We start from the raw sequence: 25,431 nt of genomic DNA, 5'->3' as shown, positions 1-25,431 counted from the left end.
TAGAATGGCCCATGTTCTGTAAGGTGTAGCTAATATATTGATCATCTATGTTCTATAACTTTCATAAGAGATGGGCATCATCAATGAAGGATTCATCTCTACATTTTTCCAACACCTTTCATCTACCCTTCTAGTCCACGGCATGGTTTATGCTGACTTTCTCTTCTCTGAACACCTTTAAGTTCTCTGAACTATTCACTAAAACAGTAGACTCCTATACACTAAATGGTTAGGAGAGGGAATTTTTCTCCACTACCTTCCTGTTCCCAGAACCCCTAATGTGGCCTCACAAGCCTTGACCAGATGTGTATGTGTATGTGTGTGCATGTGTGTGTATGAAGATATAACAGCACGCTATGCTGTGACATGAACATTTTATGAAGGAAAGAAGTAATGTGCTGAGAATTTAAATCAACTAGCTATCGTCACAGTCAGTCATGTCTCCTATATTCAACATTATTCCTGCCATCCCTAATAGTTTTGCCTATTAATGTAGCTTACAATTGCTATCCAACCTTTCTAATATCTGTTTGTGCATTCATATGTTCTGAAATTTTGACTTCCACGGAGATTCTAAAGTCTTATTTATGTCTTACCATTATTTTTTCCCACCAGTGTAGCTAAAATGCCTCACACAGTGACAGGTACATAATAAACACTCAGTAAATGCTGGTTGATCGAATTTAGCTCTTCCCGCCTTCTACGTTGCCATACAAGTCTCTTAATATTGCTTTCATTTTCATAGCTATTCATTCAATTATTCTTCCTCAAACCTTAAATGAGGCAGGCCACCCCTTCTCCCAGGCATCCACATATTAGCACTTTCTTCATTCGTCTTCCATTTACATCTAACTAAACTAATTATTTTCCTGCTACCTCACACCCCATTGGTGTTACACAAACCGCTGAGACAGCCCTATCTCCTGCAGGCATCGCTTGTTTCTTTTCAGCAGCCTGTTGTAACAGGAGTGACAGAACTATTAAGAATGTCAGCCTCTCATGCATGAGAAACTTATGTGAAACAAATGGTGTCATCCTAGGTAGGATGGAAGATGGCAGCCAAGGCAAACTCAGGAACCAGCAAGACCCCACCAAGCAAACTTTAATAGGGGAAGAAGAAACTATTTGTACATTTCCAGGGCAATACACAAATAAATACAATTTTTTTTTTTAAAAAAAGGTGAAACAAAAAAAATTGCATGATTTCTGCAGGACTTAGGACATACTGGTGGCACTCTCTGATGCACCAGAGAATTGAGCAAATGGTTGAGATTTATGCAACACTGAATAGAAAACAGAAGATAGATTAACAGATAGATTATATATATATATATACACATATATATACACACACATATATATATACACACACACATATTATATACATATATATATATAGAGAGAGAGAGAGAGAAACAGAAAATGGAGGATCCTTCCATTTATATCCATTCCCACAACTCACCCCTATTCTAAGCCAATGTCATCCTTCCCTCCCAGACTTTTTTTCTTCATTCTGTCACCCAGGATGAAGTGCAGTGGTGCGAACTTGGCTCACTGCAACCTCCACCTCCCGGGCTCAAATGATTCTCCTGCCTCAGCCTCCCCAGTAGCTGGGACTACAGGCATGCACCAGCATGCCTAGCTAATTTTTTGTACTTTTATTAGAGATAGGATTTCACCATGTTGATCAGGCTGGTCTCAAACTCCTGACCACGTCCACCTGCCTTGGCCTCCCGAAGTGCTGGGATTACACGTGTGAACCACTGGGCCCGGCCCCAGACTATTTCAATAACCCACTTAACTGTTCTTTTTGCCTCCTCTTCAAGCCTTCTTCAACACAGTAGCCAGATCAATACTTTCTTAAAAACACAAGTATTACTAACTTCCTTACTTTTTCAGATCCCTTAAGAGCTGCCCAAGGCACTTAGGATAAAATCTGAAGTCTGTACCTTGATGGTAATCTCTCTCATATCTGCTCTTTCAATTCCATCCTATGTCCCCTTCTAGGATTCTGTTCTAACCATACCATCCTTTAATTCCCCAAAACCACCGAAGTCTTGCTCCTCTCCCAGAGAATTTGCCCTAGAATGTCTCCACTTAAATATCACTTCCTTGATCACCTACATTAAATGGCCACACACTGCATACATTCTTATCACACGCTGGTGTGTTTACATTGCAGCACTCACTGTGATTTGTAATTATACTATTTTATTGTACAGTTACTTATCTAATATTTGTTTCCTCTAGAGAAAGTAAGACCCCTGAGTCTAGGCAGCATGGGTGTCTGGTTTTCCCACTGTGTCTCTCGCGGCTAGCACATGCCTAGCATAGAAGAGCACTCACTATGTACTTGTTGAATGAATGAATTGCTGTAGTTCCCTGCTTGATATAGTGAGACAGCAATTCCAGTAAGGAAGAGATGAGGAAGAGCATCACAGGAATGTTAGGGGCCCTATTCTGATTCCTCACCTTTCACCATATCCCTTTTCAAAGCCTTCATAGTGGGGACTAGAGGGTTTGAACAGAATCATCAGTGACTTTGAGCTCAGTACTACGAGAGCTGCTGTGCAAGGCTTCTTGGGAGCCTTTGTGCAGGTGTGAAACCTTCAAGTTCTTCAAAACCTCATGTTTGCAGAGTCAGCCTTAGGAAAGGAGCTTGCAATCTGTTTCAGCCACCACTACGCAGGAGTAAGACCATGTGCTTTGAATAATAAGGTATTTTTGAACTTTAGAATAGTTCTCCTTCCTTTACTTCCCTATCCTTATGACTTTTTTATTAGAATATTTGCATACTAAGTATTAAACTACAGATATGTAGTATTAAACTACAGACATACATTATTGTACAGTGTGCTCATGTTCTTCATCTTTCTTTGCATGGGGAAGAAGGGAAAGATGAAGGAAAGCTACACAGTAGAAGTCAATATTTTTAAAATCATACCAGTCATCAACTTCATCCACCTTGTGGTTTTTGATTTTGTTTTTGTTGTTGTTATTTGTTTGAGACAGAGTCTCACTTCTGTCACCCAGGCTGGAGTGCAGTCATGTGATCTGGGCTCACTGCAACCTCTGTCTCCTGGGTTCAAGTGATTCTCCTACCTCAGCCTCCCAAGTAGCTGGAATTACAGGTGTGTGACACTATTCCCACTTAATTTTTCTTTTTGTATTTTTAGAAGCGACATGGTTTGACCATGTTGGCTTGGCTGGTTTTGAACTCCTGACCTCAAATGATCCACCCGTTTTGGCCTCCCAAAGTGCTGGGATTACAGGCATGGGCCACCATGCCTGGCCTTCATCCATCTTTTGAAGAAGTGGAGTTGTAAATATAACCCAGACATTAGCTGAGGTCTCCAGGCACCAGAATCCTCAAGGCCACCTCCTGATGAAGACAATCGCCTTTGTCACTATTTCTTTGATGAGACTTACAGTCCCACTGGAACTTTTGTCTCAGAGTTCTGCATATAGAAAGAGTTTAGTATAGTGGTCAAGAGCGTAGACTCCACAGTTGAGATGGGTGGAATTCAAACTCAGCTCCAGCTTTTGCATGCTGTCTAACTTTAAGAAATCTATGTATCCTCTTCCAGTTCCAGTTTTCTCATCTGTAGAAGAGTAATAATTAGCAGAACCTATCTCACTCAGTCATTATAAGGATGAAATGAGGTGATGCTTGTAAACTTCTTAGTACACAGCCTGGCCCATAAGCAAAACTTCCACCATGTTAGCTGTTATCTTAAGAATGACTAGGAACAACAACTGCTTTCCACTTCATGGAGTCAGGTAGGAATTCAGCACTTGAAATAACTTCCATCCATGATCACTCTCAAACCATTATGAGTATGAGTTTTGAAAGGAAAGATTAACTTCAGGGGGAAGGGTAGAAAAGGGCACACAGAGTCGGGGGGATTGGTTTACCACACAGCAAACCACTTCAAATTGAACTTCAGAACCAGCTGCTGATTTCCTAGGGACTCTTTCTTTCACATAGACATCTGATTCCCACCCACTTGTTGGTTGGATCCTTGTCTTTCATTTTCTCTCTTCTCTCTTCTTCCTTATCAGAGCACAAGGTTTTCTTTAACTCAGCAGAGCAGTAATCACGACTCCCTTTTGCTGAAATGATCACTGCCCAAGCTATACTCCTTGGGTCCCATTCTCTATAGTAAAAGGTTTATCCCTAACAGGCATCCCCTCCTCCCAAAAAGGAATTTTTATTTAATCTTCACAAGAGACCTATGGTTTCCTATTGCCATCCTCATGAGAGAAGATGAAACTGGAGCTGAGAAGGATTAAGTAACTTTCCTACTTTGCATACATAGTGAATAGAGGGCCAAGATTTGAATCCTCATTTGGTTGTCTCCAAGGCTGTGCATTTTCTACTGGGACTGCTGCTTTGTTTATTTGAATCTTAATGAACTGCTAGATGTGACCCATAGGGTCTATTGAGCATATACACCCAAAAATAATCCTAGCTTATTTGGCCTCACAATGCACAACATTAAAAAAAATTATTACCATCGGTTTTTGGGGGGAACAGGTGGCATTTTGTTATATGAATAAGTTCTTTAGTGGCGATCTGTGAGATTTTGGTGCACCCATCACCCGAGGAGTATACACTGAACCCAGTTTGTAGTCTTTTATCCTTCATCCCCCTCCCACCCTTTCCCCTCCAGTGCCCAAAGTTCCTTGCATCATTCTTATGCCTTTGCATTCTCATAGCTTAGCTCCCACTTATGAGTCAGAACATACGATATTTTGTTTTCCCTTCCTTAGGATAATAGTCTCCAATCCCGTCCAGGTTGCTGAAAAAGCCACTAATTCATTTCTTTTTATGGCTGAGTAGTATTCCATTATGTGTGTTTGTGTCACAGTTTGTTTGTCCACTCATTGATTGATGGGCATTAGGGCTGGTTCCAGATTTTTGCAACTGCAAATTGGCAATGCACAACCTTTATACGTTTCCACCCAGATCATTTTCAGAAGCTGTCTTCTGAGTGTACGCCCCATAAAAGCAGACTGGGACCACGGTGCATGCAACAAAGTTCTTATACATGAATTTATGGATAGAACAGTAACCCACGGGATTGAAGAGCCATTAGACCCCTCATTTCCTAACCTTTGTCAAGAAATAACATGGCATTCATCTCAGATCGGTCAAGAAGAGAGGCTCCTGGCTTGAATCTGTATAGAAATCATGTCTTGCACCAGAATCTATGTATTCTGAAACTCCTTTTTCTTTTCTTGGACATTATCATGTCATAGAGCAATGAGTTATTTTCTAACCAAGATTCCCTCTCTATTCTGTTTCTTGAAGGTATAGATTCTATTTGACTCCTAATTGCAAAGTCATTGCCTAGTTCCTCTTAAATATAATCTGAGTCCTCATTATGGGCAAATAAACAATAGGCAGCTAAGAGCAGAAAGCCCAAAATACAACGAACTGACTGTAAATGAGCAAATCCATTAAAAAATGGGTTAGAAAAATATATCCAAAGTCATAAAGATGCTTCTATCCTTTGACTTATACTTCTCAGGCACTTATCCCAAAGATGAAAACTCTATAGGTGCTAAGTAATTAACTCTAGTGATTCTGGTATTAGTGAGAAAAGCAGAAACCTACTAGATATTCTAAGATAAAGCGGAAAAACATCATCCTGATGTTATATTGTGTGGCCATTATAATGATGATCGCAGGGAATGAGAGAGCAACATGAATAAAAAACAATGCTTAAGCAGCTTCAGGGAAGAAATAATAACACAAATCACAAGCCCATGATGACCACAGCTTTGGACCATACATCTGGACTGGGATTGCAGAGGAAAGTGGAGAAGGAACGACAGTGGCTTGTGGACAGTGGTGCATGTTAGAGCCATTCAGGTGCAGGTGAATCTCATTTCCTCCATGTCTTCAGAGAGCTGTCTGTGTGATAAGTTTAAAACGAGCACAAAGAAGGTCCCTGAGATGTGGATTCTGCTCCAAAATGAAAGACGAGCATTTGGAGCACAGCCTCCAGGTGAGAGAGCCCAGCTTTGCATGCAAGACATGGAGATTTCCCTTCCTGGAGCCACACCTGCACCGGCTGTAGTGTGTGATTATGCTCTCGGGCCATCTGCTCTGGGGTTGTGAAGGCAGTCGTGTGTCCTCCTGCCTGGACGTCAGGGAGGACACCGATCACTAGTCAATCTGCTTGAAATTGCCTCCTATGATTAGTGTGTAATGACTCAGGTAGGTCATGGCCACGGACGTTTCTGTTATTAATGCATTAGCAGCTGTAAATGGGCAATGATTCTGCACAGAGTGCAGGTTTATGGACTTGGTGGGAGAGTCTGTCCCTGTGAAGCGTAAATGGTCATTGCTGGGAGACGAAACAACCCTGAGAGGAGAATGCCCTCTGAGAAGGATGAAGAAAGCCAGCTAGATTAGAAAGGAGAAAACCTGGGCTGGGACAAAGAAAGAGAAGAAAGTACTTGTATCTAGGATACTCCTTGGTCCTCTCTCACATCTGGTCAAACTAATCACATCCTTACATTCCTGAGCCCTCCCTGGTATTGGCTAGTCTGTGATAGTTAATCTCACATGGATTATTTTATTTACTTTAAAGTTTTATCTTCCAATGTTATCATGAGTGTACAGCACCATATCTGTTTGTTTACTATGATATCCTCAGTACCTAGCGAGAATCCAAAATCAAAATTTTTCCATAGCTATTTATGAATGAATCAATGAATGAAGGAAGGAAGGAATGATGGCATTACCAAGATAAGCATGTTGACTTCCATATCAATGTCATAGCAACTTGAGCTAGAATGTACCACCATGCAGTTTTGCAAGACAATTTATTCTCCTTAAACAGAGGGACTGAGGTTCAATAAGAGTTAACCGATTTTCTGCCAATGCATATGCATGTACACACACACACACTCACGCACACAAGTCAGTCAGTGGGAGAGGACATCCCTTCTCAGCACATAATTATTTTAAATAGCAATAACAGCAATCATTGTTACTGTTTACTGTGTACCAACTGTAAGCCAGGCATGGAGTTGGGCTGGTATTTTCTGAAGCAAGGATCTGCAAATAACCACCTGAATTCAAAAGAAACTAGGCATATATTTTAGGAAAATAAAACCATTCTGGCCATCTATACATGGACAAAGTTTGTGTTTTTTTGCTTTGGAGCTTCTCAAAAGTAGGAAGAAATTCTAGCCTCCTGAATTTGGAAAAACCAAATTCCTGTTTCCATATCGTATTAACCAGCCTATTTTACCAAAATTTTGGTTCATCCTTTGTGACTTCCATAGTCTTCTACAGGAACCACCAGTAGGAATCAGGTGATTCCAGATTCACTAATGTCTTCAGAAAACAACACTACATCCTCAGGTTGAGCTGAGACAGCAAGCAGAGCTACTCTTTAGTTTAAATGAAGGGATTCAGCAGAAATATCATTACTGTTTTTCTTCAGTTGGTAACCGGTGAACGATAATGATAAATACAAAGATTTCACCTCATAGGTGTTAAAGCTAATAGAAGGTGAATGCAGGTGAAATTTGCTTTCATTATCCATAATTCTTAGTTTATTTTTCCTTTTTCAGACAGGGCTTTGCTGCCTCCAGGTTGGTGTGCAGTGCCACAATCAACTCACTGCAGCCTTGGATTCCTGGGCTCATGTGATCCTCCTGCCTCAGCTTCTGAAGTAGCTAGGACCATAGGTGCACACCACCATGCCTGGATAATTTTTTAAACATTTTATGTAGAGATGGGTTATCACTATGTTGCCCAGGCTGGTCTTAAACTCCTAGTCTCAAGTGATCCTCCCACCTCAGCCTCCCAAAGTTCTGGGCTTATAAGCATGAGCCACCATGCCTGGGTACCTTTCCTGTAATTCGTTACTACAACCCATGAATGTAGATCAAATTATATTAATATTAGTTTCTCATTATAGCAAAGAGAAAGCAAAATGTCTGTACTGATTTAGTTGCAAACCTAATTTAGCTACATAGTACACTCTCCTGTCAAGAGAAAATGGGCTAATTTCTGTACACAGGTGGGCCAGGGAGGGACTGACTGCTTCTGGTCGTAACTTATCCATCTCTGTCTTGCTGAGATAATGATACTTCCCTTCAACCTTCTCTTCTGTGGCCTAGTTTCTATATCTCATTTGCTTTCTAAATTCGAAGTTAGATGGGGCCCTAGTTAAAGACCATTTGATATAGAGCATGTGTCCTCACCCAAATCTCATGTTGAACGGTAATCCTCAACGTCAGAAGTGAGCCAGGTGGTAGGTGATTAAATCATGGGGGCAGTTTCTCATGAACAGTTTAGTAACATCCCATTGGCACTGTCCTTGCAGCAATGAATGAGTTGTAACAACATCTGGTTGTTTAAAGTGCATGGTGCCTCCTCTCCCTCTCTTGTTCCTGCTCTGGCCATGTAAGATGTGCCTGCTCCCCCTTTGCCTTCTGCCTTCTGCCATAACTGTAAGTTTCCTGAGGCCTCCCCAAAAACTGAGCAGATGCCAGCATCATACTTCCTGTACAGCCTGTGGCTCTGTGAGCCAATTAAATATCTTTTCTTTATAAATTACCTAGTCTCAGGTATCTCTTTATAGCAATGTGAGAACAAATTGACACTCCATTCTAGTTCAATTCCTCATTATCAGTATTGTAATCAGGAAACTGAAGCCAGATTGGTCAAATGTGTTGTTAAGAGTTATGTAGTTCTTGTAAATGGGAGCTAAATGAAGTGTACCTGTGAACACAGAGCATGAACTATGGAGACTCAGAAGGGTGGGAGGGCGGGAGGAAGGTGAGGGATGAGAAATTACTTAATGAATACTATTAAGGTGATGGTTACGCTAAAAGCTCAGAGTTGGCTGAGTATGGTGGCTCATCCCTATAATCTCAGCACTTTGGGAGGCTGAGGCGGGCAGACCACTTGAGGTCAGGAGTTTGAGACCAGGCTGGCCAACATGGCAAAACCCTTTCTCTACTAAAAATACAAACACTAGCTGAGCATGATGGCACACACCTATAATACCAGCTACTTGAGAGGCTGAGGCACAAGAATAGCTTGAATCTTGGAGATGTAGGTTGCAGTGAGCAGATATCACACCACTGTACTCCCACCTGGGTGAAAGAGTGAGACTCTATCTCAAAAAAAAAAAAGCACAGACTTCACTACTATGCAACATACCCATGATGTATGGAAACTGTACTTGCAACCTCTAAATTTATGCAAATTGAAAAATTAATAAACATATAAATAATGTTTTCAAAAGACAGCTGTGTGGTCAATTCACAAGCATTGCTCCCTTAATCTTTCAAAGACTGATCTAGATTGGGGGTATGGGGGTTGCCACCGGCAGTCATGGATGACAGAAGAATAATTTGAAAGTACAAAGAGTGTGATCAACATTCACAGCACAAATTCATTCAACTCAATGAACAACTCATTCAAAATATGTACCTGCTTGTCACTTTTACAGGTGCTAAGGATACAGAAGCAAGCAAGACTGACACACCCCATGCCCTCAGAACTCCTCCAGTCCAGTGGGGAAGACAGATTGTGCACACCCAGTAAAACTGGTCATCAGGGAGCATCATAAGCACCATGGCAGATTTTAACTGGGTAAGATGATGAAGAAGAACGAGGCTGACAGTGGGGTGCTGCCTGGGCTTCCCTCTTCCTTACCCATGCTACTACTTTACACACCTTCCTTGTAACTTCCATTCTTTATTATCCTGCTCTGTCCTAACAATAAAGAAGCAGAAGGAATTGTTATTTCTTCTTTTAGCTCTCTGTCTTTTCTCTCTCTGCCTTCTCTTTCTCTCTCTCTTTCCTCCCATGCTCATGTACTCATTCGATCGAAAAAGGTCTGCAGAGTTCCTGCCCCTTATATGCAGAGGGAAGCTGGGAAAAGAGCTCTGCTATGCAGCAGCTTAGGAGAGGTAAGAGATATTCATAGGGGAAATGTAAACAACAGTGTGTGGGGGTGGTTGGTGGCCAGGGAAGTGTCAAAGCAAATGGGATGGTCAATGAGCATTATCTAGATGAGTTTGTCCTTCCAGACCACAGACTCTAAATGCAGCTGGCATGAAACCCACCCTGTGCCTGGCCTTGAATTAAGGTAATGCCCTAGGCCATGCCTGTTCTCATTCTCTCTCCCTCTTGTATTCCAACTGGCGCCTTTTAACCTCTTCCACTTCCAACCCATCTGCTGAATTTTGCATGTGAGAGAACTGTGTCTCCCTGGAAGGCAATTATTGTTGTTTCTCTTTCAATACCTCCTTACTCTGTTCCACTCCTGCCTGTTCCACTGAAACCCAGGTTCTAAAATATAATCATAGGGTCAACTTCCTACGTTGAAAATTGGCTTAGGATTTTCTTTATCCTACAAGGGGCAATCAAGTAGCTGAAATAAACAGAGAAAAATTCATTATCAGGAGGGCTTAACAGAGATCTACATAGAAGTGTAGACTAAAAGAATAGGAAAGGCTATCCCAACTGGTGAGACCAAGTGTAGCAAGTGCTTGGAGCTGGGAAATAAACATGTTTAGATATCAAGAGATGAACTTGCCCAGTTGGAATGAAATGTATTGAGGGATTCATGGAGAAAAGATAAAATGTTAGGTAAGGATGAGCTTATTCAACAACCAACTAGACGATATTCTTGTTTCAAGAATATTAGTCCTGCAATCTGTTGGCTGGGATCCAAGGGAAGGTGGCTTTAGGTATGAAGACTACCTAGAAAGAATTCCCAGATACGTAAGTAAGAAGTCCCTGGAGCAATATGCCAACAGAGGGAATGAAAAGAAGTCTCTTAGAAGATACAGATAAAACACTCACTTATCATTTGGTGGCGGATGAAAAACAAAGACAATGTTAGTAACTAAGGCTTGGGACTGAGGTTCCTGAGAAGAGAGTGGTGCCCATGGGTCAATGAGTGAGACGTGGACTGATTTCAAGTGTTATGCATTGGGAGCCTTAAGTGACAGAAAGAAATGAGTGAAGATGTATAGCAATCTGTGCTGCATATGGCATTAGAATTCAGTGATAGATCTGGAGTCTATTATTCTAAACCTACCAACGTAGAAGTGAAAGCTTTGAAGACGAATACTGAGGAAATAAAAACCAGCCATCAGAAAGACCCATACCAGTATTTCATCTAATGTTGATGTTATATTTCTCTCACTTACACAATACCCCATCAAAAGGTGGATGCATTTATCTATCTCTTCATTCTTCCATCCCTCTATCTGCCCGACCATTATTATATCCAACAAGTACTGATGGTGAACTATGGGCCAGCACTACAGTAGATGCCATGGAAATAATCAGAGGTGATATACTATTTGAATAATCAGCATGCATTAGGCACCAACCAGTTAGAATAGATGAATGCTGTGGCATTGTGCAGAGTCCCAGGGGACCATTAAACCTTTAGTTCTGGATCAAGGGTAAATTCAAGGAAGCAGAACATATGGAACAGCAGGGAATAGAGGACACTTTGGGGCTTGAGACAGTAGCAATTTATCAGTCAGAGTCCTAATTGATCTATAACAGCTAAGTATCAGCCTAGGTACAAGGACGGACACTTCTGACCTAGCCCCTGTATTTATAAGGCTGCTAGTCTAAAGCCATCCCATACAACAATACAGTATCAGGTTACAAGCCACATGTTCTTAAATTTAAATTAATGAACTCTCCGGACACAAAGAAATGAGATGATAGATATGTTAACTACCCTGACCTGATTACTATACAGTATATGTATAGAAACATCACTATGTACCCCATGAATATGTGCAATTATTGTTTGTCAATTAAAACTAAAGTAACACATTTATGTTACTTTAACGTGATGGCTCATGCCTGTAATCCCAACGCTTTGGGAGGCCGACGTAGGAGGATCACCTGAGGTCAGGAGTTCGAGACTAGCCTGGCCAACATGGCAAAACCCCATTTCTACTAAAAATACAAAAATTAGCTGGGCATGGTGGTGGGTGCCTGTAATCTCAGCTACTTGGGAGGCTGAGGCAGGATAATCGCTTGAACCCAGGAGGTGAAGGCTGTAGTGAGCTGAGATCGTGCCACTGCACTCCAGCCTGGGCAACAGAGTGAGATTCTGTCTCATAAATAATAATAATAATAAAGTAACAAATTTTTTTTTAATAACAGTTTTTGAAAGAACACTTAGTTTTCAGTTAGTTTTCAGGTGTAATAGTCACATTTCAAGCGTTCACTTGCTCCGTCTGGCTGCTGGTAACCATATTGAACAGCACAGATAAAGAATATTCCTTATCTATTCTCTTAGCAGGGTTAACTATGTAAGGTGATAAGTATGTTAAGTAGCTTGATTGTGGTAATCATTTCACAAGGTATATGTACATTAACATGTCTCATATATACCTTAAATCTTCGCAATTTAAAAAAAAATTAAATTTTATTTTTATTTCAATACTTTTAGGGGTACAGGTGGTTTTTGGTTACATGGATGAGTTCTTTAGTGGCGATTTTTGAGGTTTTGGCACACTCATCACCCAAACAACCCATCACCCAAGCAGTGCCCTCTCTACCCAATACTTACAAAACCTCCCACTTTTCAGGAAATGCTGAAGCCTGAGCTTCAAGGACAGGAAAAGATAGATGTGGCATGTAGGGAATTAGAGATGGAATTTCCTTTATTATTAGGGACAAAAGCTGCGAGTCTAATCTCCTGTGTGATACAAGCATCAGCTGATTAGGGTTACGCTAAGTCATTCCGATATAACTAACAGCTAATACACCATCTTTTTAGTTCTTTCTGTCTCCACCTTCTTCTTATCTGTACCCTCAACCTCCTCCCAACCTTCCCCCTCTCAGTCACCAAAGCCAATTATATTAAGAGTATGCTTTTGAAATTGACGCAATTCTTATTGGTCAATAATACCTCATTAAGACTTGGTGAAAAAAAAATATTCCTATAATCACAGACATGGTGTATTGGATAGCACTAGACCAAAGAAAAAGACAAACATAAAAATAAAGTTTGCACAATTAATTAATTATAAACATGATGCAGCATGCCATGGGATTTTTAGCCTGATAGGAAAATAGAGATCAAGGAAACCTCTTGGAAGTTAAATTTTCAAGTTGTAGAAAATCATGCTGAGGCTTAAGTTCCAACACCGACCCTGCTACTGTGAGCTTTCTGTGGCTTTCCTCTTAGCACACAGATAACAACAAAGGGATGTGGAGAGCTAGAAAACAGATGCTGGTTCCTGGGAGCTCATTCTCTTACACCATGTGCATTGGCCAATCTGTTACTCTAGACCTGTCAAAGTAGAAGTGAAAGCTTTGAAGAAGAGTATTGGGGAATAGAAACCAACCATCAGAAACACCCATACTGGTCTCTTGTCTAATGTCAATGCCATCTTTCTCCAATTTACACAATACTCCATCAGGAGTTAAGAAGCATTCATCTACCTATTCAGCTTTCCATTGTTGTACCTGTTCGACCATCATTATATCCAACAAGTACTCATGGTCTACCAACACGACAGTAAATGCTGTGGATATCATGAGGGGTAATATACTATTGAACAAACAGCAATCCAAAGGGTACCGATGCAAAGGAAACATTCTGGAAAAAATTAAACAAGAATAACCAAATTTTGGAAGCAGGAAATGAAAATTAATTTTCTGAAGCCAATGGACATATCAAAACCTGGATTCAGACTAAAATATGGCATTCTTCACAACATCAGCCCAGGCCCAGTGTCAGCCATGTACAAATTCCAACTACTAGGTCATCGCTCCTGCTAAAATCCTGTAAGAGACTGGAGCAATTTCTCAACCAGCATGCATCCAACATGTTATGGGTGAAGAACACACAAAACCCAGGCATGTGGCCAGCTTAGATGTCAAATCATCTGCCTTCCTGATAACCAGGCGACGTCCCAGAATTCAATGTTTGTTCCAGAGGAAGTGACTGCTTGGTCTCTGAAGGGGATTGAGGTTTGCTGTATCAGAGAAGCTGCAATCCCAAGGACAGGATGGAAACCTACTAGATACACTAAGAGGGATCAATACCCATAAACATCCCCAATAAGGCATCTTGCCATTGCTTCCTTTCTAAAATGATTTCTTTAAAAAAAATTATATCTGCTCACTGGTTTAGAGCAGTAAATTAATACTTTTTTTAATGTCTCTCTTTAGATGGCAGTTGTAGATACAGAAATACCATATCCATAGACAAATTAACATGAGCTCCCTTACATCCATGTACTAATTATCTTAGGGACCACAGCCTCCCTTAGGTTAAAAGTTTCAATCCCAGTGCAGGGTTGGAACAGGAATTTCTTTCAGAGAAGCAGCAATTTCAATCATATTCAGAAGACAGAGGAATGAGAAGGTCATGTATGATCTGAAAACCCATCCTTGAAACCTTATGTCCTCCATCCCTCCCCTCCCTGCCCAAGCACCAACAAAGGCATCTATGAGAAAGATGCTGCTTTAAACAGAAAAAGATCAAGTAACAAGCAAATTTAACTTTACACTAAATAGATTTGAACAGACTTCATGCCAAACAGCCCCCACCTTTTTACTTACAAAACCTCCCAGTTTTCAAGAAATGCCGAAGCCTGAACTTCAAAGGCATGAAAAGATAGATGTGGCACGTAGGGAATTAGACATGGAATTTCCTTTATTATTAGGAACAAAAGCTGCCAGTCTAATCTCCTGTGAGATACAAGCGTTAGCTGATCAGGGTTACGCTAAGTCATTCTGATGTAGCTAACAGCTAATACACCATCTTTTTAGTTCTTTCTATCTCTGCCTCCTTCCCCTCTGCATTTGAATATGCAAATTCCAAGACAATAGAAAGAGTCCTGCAATCCCACTGAGGGCAAAAGAATTCCCTTTGATCAGCCTCTTGCAGGCCTGGAGTCCCATGTCCTCCAATTCTACCTGCTCCTTTATGACATGGGCTGATATTTGATGTATCAAATTATACTCCAGCACTTTCAGAAGTAGAACCTGCTAAGAAATTCTGCATTCCTATGAAGGAAGCTACATCTTGAAAAATAAATATTTCTTTCAGCTAGCCTTTTAAAATTTTGATATTTATAATTAAATTATTACAGATTTCTTCTTAAAACAAGCTGTTCACCCATAAAACTATTGCAGAGGAGGGCTGACATCAGAGACTTTGTGAAGGTGCTACCCCAAATGCTAGAGTATATCTGCATATAAAAAAAGAGAGCTGAGAAAATTGGACAAAATACTGCTACCTTCACCAAAAATAAAGTCCTTGCATGCAATGAGAAAGGCAGAAAGTGGAAAAATGCTTACTTGCTGAAAACAAATGAAATTTCTATAATGTACCCCAGCATCTTAAAGTAAAAAATTTCTTTTTTTTTTGCAGTAATTTTCAGATCATAGTCATGTATTCCAGCTCAAAAAGAGCAAATGAACTGTTCTTAAATGCCTCAAGAAATACATGCTCTCGGTAACTGATCTGTGTTTGCTGGCATTTCTTTCTACTTTGCAGGGTCATGTGACTCAGAAGGGGGACAGAATGTCTCCTGATAAGAAAACCTTAGGGGGAGAAAAAAAGAAACCAAAAACACATTTTATTTTAATCCCCAGCTAATAAAGGCGCAGTTAACTCATTGATAACCTCACAAATTTCCCAGGTTCATTGGGGAGGGAGGGCTAAAGGAGGGTGGTTCTACCTTGCAGGCCCTCTTCTCATCTCTGATACAATAGGGCAGAAGAGAAAGACATAGGCAGGCAGCAAAGTTTTTGTAACAACTTCAAACCTGCAGAAAAGAGCTTTTCAGAGAGAACAGGATCAAAGACATGGATGTATTTATGGAATGAATGTTCAAAATGGGTTGCACTTACTGAATGCTGAGTCCGATCAAGGAAGCTGTAAGTTCCACTTGCATGAGTTCTTTGACCAGTTTCCTAAAGAAGAAAAAGGGGAATGACTTTAGTATCAAGAAATGTATTCTTGAATTTTGTCCGCACTTTTTTTGTCATAGTAATATGGACCAACCTTCAAAATAGGTTCTGACTATATTGTGAATTTAACAGCAATGATGGTGATGATGATGATGAAAATGATTCAGTTCTTCGATGTATTTTTATTACATCCTCTCAGATCCTGGCAAAGAAGGTGTTATTATCTTCTCTATTTCAGAAGAGGAAACTGAGGCCCAGACAGCTCCCACAGTTGACAAGACATGCATGTACATCGTGAAGCCTGAATTTGAACTCGGGCAAGTCAACACCAAGCTTGGAAGTACTCTTCTGTATTCTTCTCTTACACCATGAGTTCTTGTCACAGGAGGTGTTCAAGGTAAGACTGGAGGTTGACATTTCAGATATATCATTATGGATTTTCCCCCTAGGAATTAGCTTGGATGAAATAAATTCTAAATTTCCTTTCAACGCTAGAACTGCAGGATTCTACAATGTGCATTCAGGTGATACTTACTTAAAGTTCAAATATGGAAATGATTTAATTTTGCAATGAGTAGAATTATGATACAAGGTATCCTAGCAGTAATAAATTTCATAAATATGGCTATCATCACCCAATCACAGGGAGTGAGATTCATGTTCATTGATATTTAAATAAACCAAATATCACCTAAACTGCAAATGGCTATTATAATCTCCTATAGTTCAGTGAGTTGAAAGAGAGGTCATCTCCTACCAGAAAAATCAAGAGTTCTGGTAGATCTGAAAGATGTTTACGGCATCCTATACCCAAGGGGGTTGGGATACTGACTTGTTTCCTCTCTGGGGAGAAACTTAAGTAGCAGAGACGGGACTACTTTGCAGGGTTCTGGAATCCTGATCCATCGATAATTGAATTACTCTTATAAAGCAGCAGTACAATTTACGCCAAGACTCAACAAAGTTCACAAGATTTAGAGGTAAATTTTAAACATTATTTGCAGATATGTTTAGACAATATACCCCCTTTCCTAATGTGATAGGTATATCTAGATATATAGATATACAGATATACATATAAATGAAGATGACATATGTGTATGTATGTGGATATATATATGTGTGTGTAGTCTTCACATCTGGTGAGTCCCCTCTTGTTGATAAATTACAACACCTAAAAACATCAAGTGACTTCAAAATATTGGAAAGAGGGGTGACCTGCAGAGAGACCCAAGAATAGATAGAGCTATTCAGTGGTTGAAATGGTGGTGATAGTATTCACCCTTCAATAGCCTTTTGCTTTGCATTTTGATGTTTTCAATTTCTTTCAACTAATAAAAATGACCAATCTCATGGGCTAGTGTCAACAAACAGCAATGATGCACTCATTCATCCATCCATCTATCCATCCATCCATCTATCCATCCATCCATCCATCCATCCATCCATCCATCCATCCATCCATGTACTCACCCACCCATCCACCCATCCATCCATCCACCTATCTACCTACCCATCCACCCACCCATCCACCCATCCACCGATTCACCCATCCATCCATCTACCCACCCATCCCTCACCTATCCACCCATAGACCCATCGATCCATCCACCCATCCATCCATCCATCCATCCACCCACCCATTCATCCATCCGTCCACCCATCCACCCATCTATCTATCCATCTGTCCCCCATTTAACTACCCATCCATCCACCCACCTACCCATCCATCCATCTTTCCAGTCATCCTTGGCTTCACTACCTTCTAACTTTGTGACCATGGCCAAGTCACTCAACCTTTCTTTGTCTGAGTTTCTTCATCATTAAAATGGGAATAAACAGTACCTGCCTCAAGGAATTCAGGTGAATATTAAAAGTTAATATTTGTAAAACAAGTAGCATTGTGCTTAGCACAAAGTCGGTGCTTTTTAAAAGTTTATTGTTTATTAAGCCTTCTAAATGTCAGGAACTGTCCCCTTGGTGCCTACAGTCCAGTGGGGAAGATAGACAGATCTTCACCGGGGACAGTGGGGAAGGCTCCATCAAGGAAGTGGCAACGGAGCTGACATCGTAAAGGTGAGAAGTGGAAGAACATGATTTGGGAAGAATAGTTAGAATAATTAGAATAGAAATAGTCAAAATACATGGTTCTCTTCTAGAGATTCACAGTATGCCTCCAATGCAGGATTATCTGAGTCCTAATAATTATAGTAGTTGTAGTTTCACTGAATCCCTAGTACAGCCCAAACTTCATATCAAAATTTGCATGCATCCTCTCATTTATTAAAAATAATAGCTACCATGGTCAGGTTCAACCTTTTCAGCTCCTACCCCCTCTTTCCTGTCACTTCCTCCATCTCCGAACATATCCTTACATTCTAAGATCCAGCTAAATCAAATACTTAAGACACAGTGCACTAGTATTCCTTTAGCCCTTCGATTACAACCTTCTCTCATCCTAAACTGCCCTTCACCTGGCCCCATTTGAACTCATGGAAGGTCTGGAGTCTTGAGACTTGAACATCTACCCAAGCGTGCTCTCTGTAACTTTCATTGACCCTTCCAGTGGGCCTGAATTTTAGGGGAGGTCCCTATGGCCATTGGCATATTCTTCTATCAGAAGCAGAATATACATCCTTTCTAACTTTTTGTGGACTTGGCCTACCCAGGCTGTGAATTTCTGGAAGGCAAGGGCAATGTTTAATTCAACACTGTAACTATGTAGTCTGGGAAACGGCCCCTTATGTACTGCTCACTACATTGGGTAGCCTAACAAGTGATTCTTCCTTGCCCCAGAGGGTTACAGCACCAAGAAAGGACATTGACCTTCATTCCAGAAAGAGGTTTCTCTGAGCAACTGGGCCTTCTTTGGTGCTACCGTACTTGGTACCCAGGTAATAACATTGAATTTCATGTCCATCTGAGTCCAAACCCACACCTTTACATCTGGTCTTAATCCAACCTACAGTTGAAATGAATTTTATAGCCCCTCCTTTCCACTAATAAGAACCTGTAAAGTCATTTAGGGGGATTATTTTATAAAAACAGAGGCTGAGAACCATTGTTATAAAGCGAGAACAGAAATGATCATTAACAATGGTACCAGACAGCAAGAAAACCCTAATATGCTCTCTAGAGTTCCAGAAGAGTGATTTAGTGTTATTTTTTTTTTAACTAAAATGTTCTGAGTTTGCAATTACTCTTGCAAACTACGTGAAGAGCAATTTGTGACCAGGGAGAATCTCAGGTCCCAGTGGAATTGGGCACAATTTTCATTGTACCAAGATTACACAGAAGCTAAAGAGCTGCAAGTGAAGGAAACTCGGAGGACATTGGAACAAAGTCAGGCAGAATGAAGGTGAATGCTCAGTTCATGCATTAGCTACCTTCACCTATGCACTCCATCCAAATGGATGCACAAAATAGCAAACCGATTACTTCCAAAACACTGGTGTTGATGACCCTTGGACAGCCAGAATGTAGTTTTTTTCTAACTCTGACTCTCTAAACAGGGCTGGCTACTGCAACGTTTCTGTTTCCATAGATTCTGCCATGAACTGCTTCATAGACTTCCCCAGGCAATGAATGCAATGCCATCTCCTCCTGCCTCCAGGCTTGCACCCCTTGCCCCCATGCAGGTCAAGGAGTGTGACCCTTACAAAATGTAAATGTGACTGTGTTACTTGATTGTTTAAATCCTACATTGCTGGCTTCCCATTTCATTCCAAACCTACCTTACTCCTGACATCCCTAATGATTTGCTCCTAGACACAGCTCCAGCCTTATTTATTTGTTAGTAAGGAGATCACACTTCCCCCCAGTCCCGGGTACCAGCACCATGGACTTTCCCATTCTGGACCACACTTTACTCCTCACCTGCCACAGGGATGCCTGGCATGCTATGGCTTTGACTGGGGATGCTTTTAGCACCTAATTAACTCCAGTGCATTGCTGCTTCCTGTTGGAACCCCCTGACCACATGGCTTTAAGAGCCCATCACCCTTTCTTCATAGCCCATATCCCAGTTTGCATTTTGCATCCAATTAAAAATTATTAGAAAAATTATTTGATGAAAGTTTGCCTGTCTCACCAGCATGTTAGTTAGCTCCATGAGGGCAGGAGCTGTGTGGGTTTTGCTCACTATTTTAACTCTGATCACAATGCTATGGATATGGCAGACATTCAGTAAATATTTACCCAAGGAAGAAAAGATGGAAGGTAGGGAAACAGGGAGGGACGGAGGGAGGGGGAAGGAAAGAAGTAAGGAAGGAAGGAAGGAATGGAGGAAGGAAGGAAGGAAGGAAGGAAGGAAGGAAGGAAGGAAGGAAGGAAGGAAGGAAGGAAAGAAGGAACTATCGGCTTAGTCATCCTATGGCTAATTTTAGACACACTCAGCCTCCCCAAAAGTCATTTCCCTTCCCCATCTCTGTCTAGCATAGTGCCAGAAATTGGGTCTGCAGCGCCTGATCCTGGCTCCATTAGTAAGTGCTATGTTCAGAACAGACGAAACCTCACCCTATCTAGGTTCAATTTTCTCCTAGGAATTTGCAAGGCACACTTAAGTGTCGTCAGTAACTGTGGGGTCACTCTTCTCTGCCACGTGTGCAGAAAACAGCAGAAGTAGCAATGAGAGAGAGAAGAAGAAGAGAGTGGAAGAGCCATGGAGGAGGGTTTTGGGGCGGGAGGGTAAGGGCTGCCTTGTTTCCTGATTACACAGCGGTTCAGAAATGCTGGTTCTTCCTGGGACCTAGAACACCTCCTGACTTTTAGTGCTGAAACTCACTTCTGTGCTCCTGTGCTGTGTAAGAAACATGCCCATTTATTGAGTGAGTTTGAATGGATTTCTGTTGCTAGCAAACAATGCAATTATGTATAAGACCATCTCAGAGGGTGGTGCCTCACCTAAGTTGGGATTTTGTACCCACCCTGCAGGCAGGGAAGCAAACTGTATCTTGATCACATCAGGGATTATGATTGCATACATGCTCTCCAAGCCTCACAGCAGCCCCTGACCTCATTCAGGTGTCTGGCGTTTAACTGTCCTTGAAAGGACCCTGAAGCCAAATCAGCAAGCTGCCCAGGGTTGCTTGATACCACTCAGGGATTATGATGTGCGATTCCTGGTGGTAGAGAGGTTAGTGCCCATCACACCTGGGATGGGAGAAGTGAACTAGACAGGAAGTGCACTGAAGCCACCTTAGATTGGAGATAGAAGCCCTCCCCATGGGAATCCAGTGACTCCCAGCCACATAACAGGAAGCTGCTTAGCAGTAACCACTACTGCAGTCAGAGTATCTGATGGGCCTCAGTCTGCCATGCGAAAGATTCATGCCTTCCTGGACTCACTGAAGATCTCTGCACCCTGAACTCCAGCCTCAGAAGCAATACGTAATGTTACTGTAAACCTGTGGTTGCTTTTCTAAGGACAGTCATGGGTTAAAGCACCACCTTTCCCTGCCATCAGGCGTAGGCATTTCACACAGTGAGGACAGCATGGAATATCCTTTGACTTCAGGAGCGGATTCTCCAACATCATCTCCTTTTGCTTCCCATCCCATCCCCACATCAGATGCTTGGTCTCTGTGATGAGCGTTCCCCAAAGAGAGATTCATTTTCTCCCTTTATATTTGTTGAGTGAGCCTAACAAGAACAAAACCCAAAAGCCAATAGTTCTTTTATTCTTTTTTTTTTTTTTTTTTTTTGAGACAGAGTCTCGTACTGTCACCCAGGCTGGAGTACGGTGGCACGATCTCAGCTCACTGCAACCTCTGCCTCCTGTGTTCAAGAGATTCTTCTGCCTCAGCCACCTGAGTAGCTGGGATTACAGGTGCCCACCACAACGTCCAGCTAATTTTTTGTATTTTTAGTAGAGACAGGGTTTCACCATGTCGGCCAGGCTGGTCTTGAACTCCTGACCTTGTGATTTGCCCGCCTTGGCCTCCCAAAGTGCTGGGATTAAAAGTGTGAGCCACCACATCCAGGCAAGCCAATAGTTCTAAACTAAATTGAAATGTCCTAGCATCTCTGATAACACTGTGCCTGTGCACTACTTGTTTCCTATGTCTGGGATTCTGTTCTTTTTTTTTTTTTTTTTTTAAACCACTGGTAAATTTGCACCTGTTCTTCATAGCTTCAGGGAGTCCTGGCTGACTCCCCAAGCACAGTGAATCATGCCATGTTCCCCACTCTTAGAATCCAGTTAGCATCTCTATAGACTCTTCATTTGTAGACATCTGTCTCTACATCTGTCTTTTCTATTGGAGTGGCAGCACCTCGAAGCACCAGGCTGTGCCCAGTCATATTCATGAGTGACAGTACAGTTTGACAAATAGTTTGACATCCTACAGGTTTTGGACACAGATTTGGTTTCAAAGTCAGTTATCTTATTAGTTCTGGGCAAGCTGCTTGACCGCTTGGAGCTTCAGTTTTTTTGTCCATAGAATGGGTATAATAATGCCCACCTCAGAGGGTTGATGTGAGGACACTACAGCTAAATTACCTGGCACTACTACTAAATAAATATTACTGGAGCCAAACAGCCAAGCGCTACGCCTACTTCTTCAACAACAATCCTTTTAATAAACAAAGTTTTACTGTGCTGTGCAAAATTTTGCCAAGGCAATAAGATCATCCAGATGACTTTCAGCATAGCCTAGTATCATAAGCCATCACAGCACCTGCCACGTAGTAAGTGCTCACTGAAGATTCCTAAAAATAAGGAACCAGTGAGGCTCTTCTCTTACTGATGAAATACAATTGTATCCGCTATTCCAAGGTTTACATGTGGCTTATGCTGCTTAAAGGCAATAAGCGGCTGGGTGTGGTGGCTCACGCCTGTAATCCCAGCACTTTCGTAGGCCGAGGTGGGCGGATCACGAGGTCAGAAGTTCGAGACCAGCCTGACCAATATGGTGAAACCCCATCCCTACTAAAAATACAAAAATTAGCTGGGCGTGGTGGCAGGCACCTATATTCCCAGCTCCTCGGGAGGCTGAGGCAGGAGAATCACTTGAACAGAGGTTGCAGTGAGCTGAGATCGTGCCACTGCACTCCAGCCTGGGCGACACAGCGAGACTCTGTCTCAAAATGCTACTACTACTACTAAAGTCAATAAGCGTCATTGCATTTGCAAGAAACAAACGCATTACACATTGCACTTAAATGCAATTAGTGTTTCTGCTGCATTTAATTTGGCTGCATTTGCCCATTCAACAAGGGCTCAGGTATAGTCTCTGTGTCTGCTTCTGTTCCTCCCAGCCTCCCTCTGTAGGGAAGCAAACTTCTCCCCGAAGCTCTAGGGACCTCCGAGAGACTAACAATATTACACCCCACACACCGCCTCCCTTTGAGCCTTATTGTTGGTGTGTTTAATTTCCTGTCTTGGCCTTACAGGAGATTTCTAATGTTTGGGCTGTAGGGTATGTTCTGATTAAAAATAATCCTCCCAATTATGGGCTGGCATGAGCCTCCTGTCAGGCGCACTCTGCCACCAGCTCCGCTTCCCTGTCAGCAATAATTGTGTCTGCAGTGCCTAACTGTAAATGAAAACCCAAGGGGCAAGTTTGGGTCCCTGGTTCCTGGGCCGCGCCGGATCTTTTAATTTGCACTGTCTGTCAGAAGGATGCAACTGTGTGTACTCCAAAGAAATCCTTAGACGCTCAGATTCAAGGCCAGAGAGAGCAGAGGTACCACAGCCTTCTCAGAGAAATTGCATTTGAACCCGCCAGAGATAACAGGGTGTGTGTAAGGCAATGAGGCTCTTTTTAGTTGGCTCCAAACTTTAGCTAGACCCAGTATGAAAAGGGAAGCTGAACTCCAGGGAAATTTCAAGGTTTGTTTATATTATTTCTCCACCGAGTACATAAGACAGGCCATTGAATTCAAAACAGGCGAACGCAGTGGTTTGAAAGGAAATATACACATGAGACCTGATTATTTCAATCTCCATAAAATTAAAACTTCCTGGGTATAGGGTGAGAGGAGAGAGGTAAGTCTTTTCAGCTGGGAAATATCATCAAGGTATTCTTGTAGAAGCAGAGAGACGTCCCTCTGGCCAGGCTCGGACAAGGCACTTAAAATGTGCTGTAGAGTTTAAAAAGTGGCAGGGGGAGACAGCTACTGAGCAAAGTTGTTTTAGGAGTGATAGTTGGGAAATACTTTTGGTGTTCCTCTACATCCCCCATATCTATTTTTCTAAGAATGGCACCTGCTGTTCCAGACAGCATTTGCATCTCTTATTCCACAACTCCTGATACCTGGTCGAATAGCCTGCTTTTCGCATAAATCAGGGATGCAATTTCTGCATCCAATGCATACCAAACGTGACACCAATGCATTTCCCCAAAAAACTGCCTCTCTGGCTCAGCCTAGCTCCAAGGGGCTTCTTTTACTTACAACATACATTTTGGTGACTAAGTCATCCAGGTAAGAACTACTCAGAGCCACACGAGCAGGATGTTCAAGTGCAGGCAACCCTGTCACTCAGCAAACTAGGGTCCACCAGTCAAGTCAACACACAGCCAGTATTTTTATGTAAAAAAGTTTCTCTCAGATGCAGTCATGTGCATTCATTTATGTAAGTGTTATCTAAGATTGCTTTCATGCCACAAAGGCGAAGCAAAACAGATGATCCAACACATGGCTTGCAAGCTCAAGAACATGGATTCACACACAGGGCCACAAGGATCTACATAAGGAATAAGCAAATAATAATCACAATCCAAATAAATAAATATGGAAATAACAGATGATGATCATTTATAGGATGTGCAAATAATAACCATCCAAATAGATAAATACACAATGTAAATTATTATAATTTATAAAAGTATGTAAATGACATTCCAAATAACTCAGTAAATAATAGAAATTATCATTTATAAAAGTATGTAAATAATAACCTAAATAAATAAATGAATAAATGATTATAAAATATGTAAATAACAATCCAAAGAAACTTATATAAATAACATAAATATCATTTATAAAAATATGTAAATAACAACCTAAGCGAATATATAAATGATTACAGTTTATAATATGTAAATAACAACCTAAATGAATATATGATTATAATTTATAAAAATATGTAAATAATCCAAATAAATATATAAATAATATAAATTATCATTTATAGAAATATAAAAGTAATAATCCAAATAAACATATAAATAACATAATTATCACTGATACAAATATGTAAATAACAATCTAAATAAACATATAAATAATATAAACAATCATCATGTATAAAATATGGAAATAATTATCAAAATAGAGAAATATATAAATAACATAAATGATTATCATTTATAAAAATACATAAATATTAATAATCTAAAGATATAAATCATAAATATCATTTATAAAAATATATAATTAAAACTCATTATGTATCAGATTGTTATATCATTTTCTCTATTATATATTATTAAATGATATTATATAATGACTTAATATATTAAATGATATTATATAATGACTAT

General features: G+C 40.9%; 1 protein-coding gene across 16 annotated transcripts in view, besides 2 other annotated features; it reads right to left on the bottom strand.

The window, feature by feature from the left end:
• Positions 1-25,431, bottom strand: part of RBFOX1 (RNA binding fox-1 homolog 1) — a 2,473,620-nt gene that overhangs the window by 1,380,397 nt on the left and 1,067,792 nt on the right. For all 16 annotated transcript variants that reach the window (NM_001415887.1, NM_001415888.1, XM_017023318.3 and 13 more), the window contains one exon: positions 15,887-15,949. In NM_001415887.1, coding sequence (NP_001402816.1) covers positions 15,887-15,949 — 63 coding nt within the window. The remainder of the gene's footprint in view (positions 1-15,886; positions 15,950-25,431) is intronic.
• Positions 9,562-10,062: an enhancer, noted in NCBI's record as "H3K4me1 hESC enhancer chr16:6372883-6373383 (GRCh37/hg19 assembly coordinates)". NCBI's record gives its function as "activates a minimal SCP1, AML or CMV promoter by ChIP-STARR-seq in primed H9 embryonic stem cells {active_cell/tissue: H9 hESC(primed)}" and the evidence as "EXISTENCE:reporter gene assay evidence [ECO:0000049][PMID:30033119]".
• Positions 10,063-10,563: an enhancer, noted in NCBI's record as "H3K4me1 hESC enhancer chr16:6372382-6372882 (GRCh37/hg19 assembly coordinates)". NCBI's record gives its function as "activates a minimal SCP1, AML or CMV promoter by ChIP-STARR-seq in primed H9 embryonic stem cells {active_cell/tissue: H9 hESC(primed)}" and the evidence as "EXISTENCE:reporter gene assay evidence [ECO:0000049][PMID:30033119]".

This window comes from Homo sapiens, chromosome 16 (assembly GCF_000001405.40).
Source record: "Homo sapiens chromosome 16, GRCh38.p14 Primary Assembly".
NCBI lineage: Eukaryota > Metazoa > Chordata > Mammalia > Primates > Hominidae > Homo > Homo sapiens.
The sequence above is the reverse complement of the archived record's forward strand: the minus strand, read 5'-3'. Positions and strand labels throughout refer to the sequence as shown.